The sequence below is a fragment of the Homo sapiens genome, chromosome 8, assembly GCF_000001405.40.
Source record: "Homo sapiens chromosome 8, GRCh38.p14 Primary Assembly".
In the NCBI taxonomy this organism is placed as follows: Eukaryota; Metazoa; Chordata; class Mammalia; order Primates; family Hominidae; genus Homo; species Homo sapiens.
The window spans coordinates 19751825-19760489 of NC_000008.11; the positions used below are offsets into that span (position 1 = coordinate 19751825).

Genomic DNA, 8665 nt, shown 5'->3' on the forward strand with positions numbered 1-8665 from the left:
TCTGCCATGATTGTAAGTTTCCTGAGGCCTCCCCAGCCATGCCCCCTGTGCAACCTTTGGAACTGTGAGTCAACTGAACCTCTTTTCTTCATAAATTACCCAGTCTCAGGTAGTTCTTTACATCATTGTGAGAACAGACTAATACATGTGTATATTTATATATTTATATTACATAACATTTTTAAAAATTGTCTATAGTAGATAAAATATACAATGTTATATAATATATAACAATATATTTTTATATGATATGATGATGATGATAAATGATATACATTATTATATTATATATAATATAAAATGTTATATATTATATGATATTATATGACATATCATATATGAGTATATATTCATATCTTATATAATATATACTATATATCTTATATGATATATAAAATATATACACACACATATATAACCTTTCCTATGCTCCAGACACTGTTCTAACCACTTTTACAGACAAGAGCGTCACACAAACTTATGCAGGTTGTGCCGCAAAGTGTGCCCTGCAGGAACTTCAGCCCACTCTCTGTTGACCAGGCTGAGCACCCGACATGGAACAGTCTACCACAGACGAAGGGGTTCCTAGCACAGCCCTGTGTACGTATGTTGACCTATTGACTGATGCGTTAACTTTAGCACGTTTCTAATATTTGAGAAACAGAAGTAGAAAGTCACTTTTGTGAGAACACACAGCCTAAGTCAAAGACCACCATTTTAGTAATTTTATTAACAGAATAGATGAACATACCACAAAAATCACCAGTAACCAGTTCCTAGTATCAAGCTGCAGTGCTGTGTGCCCACGTGCCTTAAGAATACAAAAACAAGGCTGGCCCTCAGTATAAATGGACAAATCACATCTACCTCCTCCCCATTTCCTGCTTCTCTTTTCTTCCATCAACTCAAATGTCCTTTGTGTGTGAAAATGAAACAAATTATCAAATATGACTCCAGGGTAACTGAATGTTATGTTTTATGCATTGCCTAAAAACAGCAATAAAAATTATCTGTGCAGCAAAGTAATGTTTCCCTAAGTCATAGGTTCAAAACATGAAATTCTAGCAAACAATTATTTTTGTGCAGGCACAACTCCCAAGTGCTGGTTCCTAAAAATGACTCCCAAGTTTAAAGACTCATTCATTTCCTCTCAACTCAGCCATCCATAACCTTGTTCAGCTTGGAGCTCTTGCCCAAACTAAATTGTCCCATCCTGCATAAAGCTTTGTACCTATCATCTTGGCGTGGACTCAGCTTCAGTCTGCGAAGATGAAGGAGAGGCAGGGAGACACCATGGCCTTTGCTAGCTGGGGGTTTGAGGATAAGCCAAACTCTTGCAGTTCTGGGGAAGCATTAGTCTGTGCAAATGGGATCTCTATAACCTTTTCATGTGCGCAGAATCCTAAAAGTAATCCAAAACATTTAGCTTAATCAGAGGGAAATGATATTTAAAATGTTCTACAACCTTCATCCAAAAGTTATTCCTCTTACCCTGTTCTCCTAAGATTACTGACCTAGACCTTGATTTTTTAAAAAAAACCAGATTGTCTTACCGTAAAATCCTGCCATGTAAATATCAGAATTGGATGTCTGATAATTTTCCAAACTCAGAGACATTCTGCTAGATAAGACAGGAAAACCACTGGTAAGATTTAAGACCTACAATGGGCTAAACTTTTCTCTGTTGCTAGTTTTTGTTGTGGTTTCGTTGGGTTTTGTCCATTTGCTTCTGAGACAAGGTCTTGAGATATTGCCTAGCGTGGTTTTGATATATTGAGTGCTTCAGAAATCCTACTACCTCAGCCTCCCAAGTAGCTGGGACCACCACACCTGGGTCTAACTGTTTCTAATTTTACTTACAGATTAAAGGTATTTAGTTTGTCACTCGAATTAAGTTTCATGGAAAACCTGAAAATATAATGTTCTCATTCATTTACATACAATATGGCAATATTTTCAGTAATAATGTTTGTTTATATACATTGTCAGTAATTTTTCTACCAAATAGCAAATTATTTCTGGCAAATAAAAACACAAACAAATAAAAACACCTTGGAGTTGTTCAATAAATATTCTCAAGCTCGACTAACTTCATTCACATTAGAATTTAGAAATAAGAAGTCTTCTCAAAAACACATAGAAGAAAGGTGACTTTCAGTGATGCATCTTGGAATGTGATAAAACACTTTTTAAAGGTGAGATTCAATGTGGCTCCATTTTCTTTTTTCAGTCTCGCTCTGTTGCCCAGGCTGGAGGGCAGTGGCCTGATCTCAGCTCAATGCAACCTCCGCCTCCCTGGTTCAGGCGATTCTCCTGCCTCAGCCTCCCGGGTAGCTAGGATTACAGGCATGTGCCACCATGCCCAGCTAATTTTTGTATTTTTAGTAGAGGTGGGGTTTCGCCCTGTTGGCCAGGCTGGTCTCAAACTCCTTACCTCAAGGTATCTGCCTGCCTCAGCCTCCCAAAGCGCTGGGATTATAGATGTGAGACATTTTTTAAAAAGGACAGATAACCAGAAGCTTCTGCTAGCCAGATAAAATTCCTTGAAAAACAACTTTTTTGCTGTTAATGATACAAATATCTATTTAGGAAATAAAACCATTTTAAACACATTAAAAGATAAAAATAAGCTGTACCAAAGACATACAAAGAAAACCACTGAAATACCTAGATGAAAACCATATACATATATATTTTCAAAGTTTAAAAAAGCATATATTTGGAAATTAGGATATATAAAATACAAATCCAAATTCTTACATCTCTTTTAAGCCCTTAACTCTAAAATTATTAAAAACAGTACCAAATCCATCATTTAAGACCACTTTAATTTATTTTTAGGCCTTTGGCTAATGCTTTTGACACAAGGTTGCCCTTTTCTAATAAAGTATTCCATGTCGTGAACCCAGGAAGTTAAATTTCTTTGCTACCTTAAAGGACAGGATAATGGTAATAAATGACAGCCTGGGGTGATACACTATGCTGAAGAGGTCCCCTAGTGGCGAAGCTCCTCTCCAACCCGGCTTTATAGGTTTTATAAGACTGCTTCATCATGAATGCAAAATCAATAGGTAATAAAGTCTACCCTAGCTTTGCCTCTGTAATAACCTCTATTAGCCCTAATATATAGTAGGGCTAACATTTAGAATCTCAAGGTCCTTTCATCAGGAATTATTAAAAGAAGGATGTGATCCAAAGAATAACTTCATTACATTCTGTATTTTAAATCAACAAATATTTATTTAGTCCTTATGCCCTGCCAGGCACTGTGTTAGACATGGAGGAAAGAGGAAAGATGAGGACCCTTGCAGACCTTACTGATATTTCTTTTTAATGTAATAACATGGCATTAAGAACAGAGCTAGAGCAACATGAAGATTGGTAAGTATCATTCATCATCATATGAACTTAGGATGGATTCTTAGGAAGATACAAGAAAAAGCTGAAGTATTGCCCCAAAGTTTCAACTCCTTATTTTCAACACCTATACTGGGCAGTATCTGAGATTCTCCAATAAATAATCAATAGATAAATGAATAGAAAGTAGGGTTACAAAGAAGAAGGAATTTTTACAATTTTTTTTAAATGTTGAAACATGCTGGAGTTGGGGATCCCTAAATGTAAAGAAAGACAAAAAAAAAAAAAAAAAAAAAAAAAGACAACATTTATGAAGTGCATACTGTGTGCTCGGGGCACTAGGATAAGTTCCCAAATGTAATTTCCTCCTGCTAAACATCTCTATAAGGTGAGGAATACTATTGGCATTTTACAAATTAGGACACCAAGGCTAGGAAAGGGGAAGTAACTTGCCCAAGGTCATGCAATTAATAAGTGGAAGAAGCCGCCTGGAGCTCAGGTCTCTGGAACAGCAAAGACACAAGCTCACTGCACTGTAATGTAAACGGATGAATCCAAATGTCGGAGATTCTGCTTTAAAACCCACTAATACATTTTACAAATAGACATATAAGATTTAGCACACAAAGATGAACAGGATTAAAGTATTTTGATATTGTATTATGTGGAGTACATATGGTGTGGCAGCTCAAGGCAGACGAATTATTAAATATGTACGGTGATCTTACAATGGGTATGGCCCGTCTCTTGCTTTCTAGGAATTGACCATCTTCCGGCAGCCCAACACCTAGTCCCCTGTGTATTATGCACTATTACAAAACGTGTTCAAGTCGCCTTTTATGCCTAAGGCTTACATAAAAATTCATCTTGCCTTTCTGCGTCTATTTCCAAGTTTGAAGGACCTTTCTCCCTCCAATTAGCAACATTTCAGCACTGCACAGGGCTTATTAATGCTCACTGTTGCAAGTAACACCAAGGTAATTTGACTTTCTTGTAGGAACAATGTCGACGAAATCCTACAGAATTAAATTTAAATTTCCAGTTTAAAAAAAAAAACCGTGAAAGAACACTTCATTACCTTTATTATCTAGACGTATCTAATGACGTTAAGTAAAAACTGCACCAAGGCTTTGAAACCAGAAGAAAAGTGGAGTTTGTGAAATTTAACCACTCCATGCTTTTTATTAGTATTTCACTTATGAGTATTTCCCGAGGCTCACTGTTTTGGCAGGCACAGTGCTGTTAACATCTCTTCCTTTCTCACCATTCTTTGCTCATCGATGAAAAGATAACTTCAAAATCTCTGACAGGAATGCAGGTGCAGGAAGTGCGACGGAAACAAACAACTTTGCCTCCGCTTCCTACAGCTTTCCTCTCCTCCCCGCCCTTCTAGCCCCCATCCCACCCCAAGATCATGCCCTCGAACAGCTTCTGCCCACCGATCGCACGTCCCCTGGGCATGTTCGGGCAGCGGTGACCCTCAGCCACATCCCCCACTAGCCCGGTCCCGGGCAGGCGAGCGCGCTGCCCACCGGCCACCCTCGTCACGCCCCCTCCACCCTCTCCATCCCAGCCACAATAATACAATAACCGCAGTCATCGCGCGGCACGTGGAAAGGCTACTTTTCAGTGGGTTTTGCAGAAAGCAATCAGACAGCGGAAGGCCACGAGAAACGCTGGTGAAGCCAAACCGACCCCGGGAGCGCAGCGGCCCCGGACCCTCCCTGGAAGCTCCCTCCGCGTCCCCGCGCGCCCACCTGGAGGCGCCGCGCCCTCCGCCTGCCAAGCCGGTCCCCGGCCCCTGCCCGTGCCCTGGGCCCCCGGCGGGCAGCGGCGGAGGGAGGCCAGGCGCGGCACCGTCCTCCGCAGCTGCACGAGCCACCCCGAGGTCGCGGGGTGGGCGGGCGCGAGCTAGGCGCGCGGGGCTGTGGGGATCTGCCGGCGCCACTGACGCCCCCGCGCGGCACACCGCGCCCGGCTGGCCCGGGAGGGGACCCGACTCACCCGAAGCGCCCTGCTAGCTGCCCGGCCCGGCTCCGGCCGCTGCCGCCGTCGCTGAACTTTCCCTCCTGCGCGGCCGCCGCGGACTCGGCTCCACCTCCCGCTCCGGCAGCCGCGGAGCCTCCAGGGACCCCGGGGGCGGGGAGCAGCGGCGGCGGCGGCGGCTCGGGCGGGCGGGCGCAACAGCGGCCAAGCCTGGCGCCCCGCCGCAGGGTAGGTCCGGCGGGGGCGGCCAAGGCCGGGCTGGGGTCGCGGTTGGCCGCGTACCTCCGCGTCACCCACGGCCTCTCTGCAGTGCGTCCCTGCGCCCGTCGGAGCGGCGCCCTGGCCGAAGCCTGTCACTCTCGGAAGGGGCCGCGCTCGGACACCAGGGGCGGTTTACGCGTGACTGGACACCAAGAGCCGGAGAAGTTTAGAGACTAGGACACTGTGGCGTGGCCCGAGTTGCAGGAGAGAGGTGTCCAATCTCCATGGGGTCCTTACTCTTGCAGGACAGAGTTCCCCATCCCCCTGCTCCACCCGCTCTGTTCCCTTGGCTGCCCTCCCCGCCGAGCGCCGACTTCCATGCAAAAACTTTGTAAATCGCACTTCGGGGAATTCACGCTTTAGTCGCGGTCTCTGCTGCCCTGGTCAGCTATAACGCCTCCCCTAGAGAGCTTTTACTTACAGCGAAGGTCAGGAACCCCTGTAACTCTCACACCGCACCACTGTGGGTAAGCGATGTCTGCAGGGACCCCTGACGGCCACTGGGAGGCCAGGAGAGAAGAGGGAGAGGAAAGGCTAAAAAGGCAAGTGGAGTGTTGGGTAATAAAAGATCCACCGCCACCTCCAGCACACACAGGCAGGCACCCTCCAGGGCCACAGGTCGCCTTTTATCTGTAAGTGCTCCAGCGCATCTCTGTGGGAGAGGGAGTTGGGAAATAGGATCGCCAATTTTCAGTGTAATTGAGGGGGACTCAGGAGGAGTCAGTTAGACTGGAAGAGGTCATCACCTGCAGATGCGGTTAAGCAACTTGCAGAGGCCCCAGGGCTGAGCCACCGCAGAACCGGAGCTGGAAACCAGTCCTATGACTCCTGAGGCAGTGCTCTTTCTACTACCTGGCCATGGCTCCTTCTACTGCCTGGCTCAGAGTCTCCATCTGGGAGATTCCGGCGCACCAGACTTTATTGTGGGCACAGGGTAGGCAGTCCTGAGGCTATAGGCACAGTCTTGAAGCAGCTCGGTTTCCATTAAGCTCCTGCTTACCTGCAGGAAGCATCCCTGAAGCAAGTTTTGCTTCCCACCTGGACTCCCCAGGTGGACCTATCCCCACCCCACACCCTGAGTGAACTCTTCACCCTCGTGACCTAATATACCCACTGCAATTCAATTGAGACTTGGGAAACAGGGAAGTGGGTGTTTTCCAAATGAATGAAAAATATGTCTATTCTGCTACTGCCCCAAAATGCTGCATAATGGAGGTAATAAATAGTTAACACAGCATACGTACACACATACATAGGTACAAGCCATTGGCCAAGGCTCCTTCCCACATTATCACACAGCACCCTCTTAAGGCAAATCATGATACTCCCCATTTTGCAGACGGAGGGCAGGACATGGAGGCTGGCGTTGGTTATGAGTTGTGTAAAGGTTAGAACCTTCACAGTCAAGCACTCTTTGGGTAACCAAGTAACCTCTTCAGAGCCTTCCCACTGCCACCGAAGCATTCCTACACCTCCCTATATTGGCAGGTGTGTTGTCAAAGCATTGATTTTCTTTCCTCTCCTGAAGCATCTCCCGTCCTTCTGCTCAGTGATATCTGCAGAATTAGAAAATACAGTTTCAGCATGGAATCTGGTCTGGAAGACAGCCCAGAGGACTTGAGCAGTAACTGCCAGGGCCCACCACAGACACACACGGTTGGACTCAGGTTCTAGACTATGTGGACAGGCTTGGGGAGGGTGGAGGAGGCGTCCTTGTTGCTGCAATTGGTTCTATAGCTGTTATCTAAAAGAAAGAGATAGAGGCCGGGCGCGGTGGCTCACGCCTGTAATCCCAGCACTTTGGGAGGCCGAAGTGAGTGGATCGCCTGAGGTCAGGAGTTTGAGACCAGCCTGGCCAACATGATGAAACGCTGTCTCTACTAAAAATACAAAAATTAGCCAGGTGTGGTGGTGCATGCCTGTAATCCCAACTACTCAGCAGGCTGAGGCAGCAGAATCACTTGAACCGGAGAGGCGGAGGTTGCAGTGAGCGGAGATGGCAGAATGAGACTCTGTCTCAAATAAAAAAAAGAGGGAGCTCACTTCAGGATTAATTACTTTTTTAGGGGCTTATAACTTATAACAGTACCTTGTTACCATTTCCAAATTTTTTCATTTGGATAGTAATATAAAAGCATAGCAATGTGCACAACAATATGTGTGATATCAGTATGTATCAATACATATCAATTCATAAAGCCAGTTCTAGCTAAGGGTTTGGTGCCCCTATACATTTTGACAACAATTAATATATGAAATGGTAAGAGAGCGGAAAAGGTGATAAAACTATGAAACCAAGTAACACAATGTGAGAAAAGATACACTTTTTTCTGGAAAAAAAAGCAAGTAGATGTGTAATAGCCTTTGGATTATCCCTTTGGAAGCCACTATTATCAAGCAGTATTGGTGGTACTTAGTGTCCGTCATTAGAAAAGGCAGCAGAGTATGAGGGAAAAGAATGGCCAACTCATCTCTGCAACCCCAGTGCCCTAACAATGTCTAGCAGAATGAAGTCAGTGAACCTAATAGAAGGATGGGTTCCTTTACACCTCAAAGACCAAAGGAGAGTAACAACCAGGTTGAACACAAAACCTACGTGTAAAAACCAATTTTTAAGACGTATGGCCAGGCATGGTGGCTCATGCCTGTAATCCCAGCACTTTGGGAGGCTAAGGCTGGAAAACTGCTTGAGGCCAGGAGTTCGAGACCAGCTTAGGCAACATAGTGAAACCCTTTCTCTACAAAACAAATTTTTTTAAATTTAGCCAGGTATGGTGGTATATGCCATAGTCCCAGCTACGTGGGAGGCTGAGAAGGGAAGATCGCTTGAGCCCAGGACGCCAAGGCTGAAGTGAGCCAAGATCACACCACTATACTCTAGTCTGGGCAACAGAGAGAGACTCTTTAAAATAATAATAATAATTACTACAAAAAAAAAAAAAGGCAGGGCATGGTAGCTCACACCGGTAATCCTAACACTTTGGGAGACCGAGGCTGGCAGATCACTTGAGGTCAGGAGTTTGAGACCAGCCTGGCCAACATGATGAAACCCTATCTCTAC

General features: G+C 45.1%; 1 protein-coding gene across 32 annotated transcripts in view; it reads right to left on the minus strand.

Moving 5' to 3' along the window:
- Positions 1–6084, minus strand: part of CSGALNACT1 (chondroitin sulfate N-acetylgalactosaminyltransferase 1) — a 353748-nt gene extending 347664 nt beyond the window's left edge. For 15 of the 32 annotated variants that reach the window (NR_148898.2, NR_148897.2, NM_001354476.2 and 12 more), the window contains exon 1: positions 6026–6084. The gene's annotated coding sequence lies outside the window, so the exon portion shown is untranslated. Of the gene's footprint in view, positions 1–1231; positions 3632–5114 lie in introns of those variants that run through there. The other 17 variants (NR_148900.2, NR_148899.2, NM_001354483.2 and 14 more) reach the window with 5 other exon arrangements.
- Between the last annotated feature and the right edge of the window lie 2581 nt (positions 6085–8665).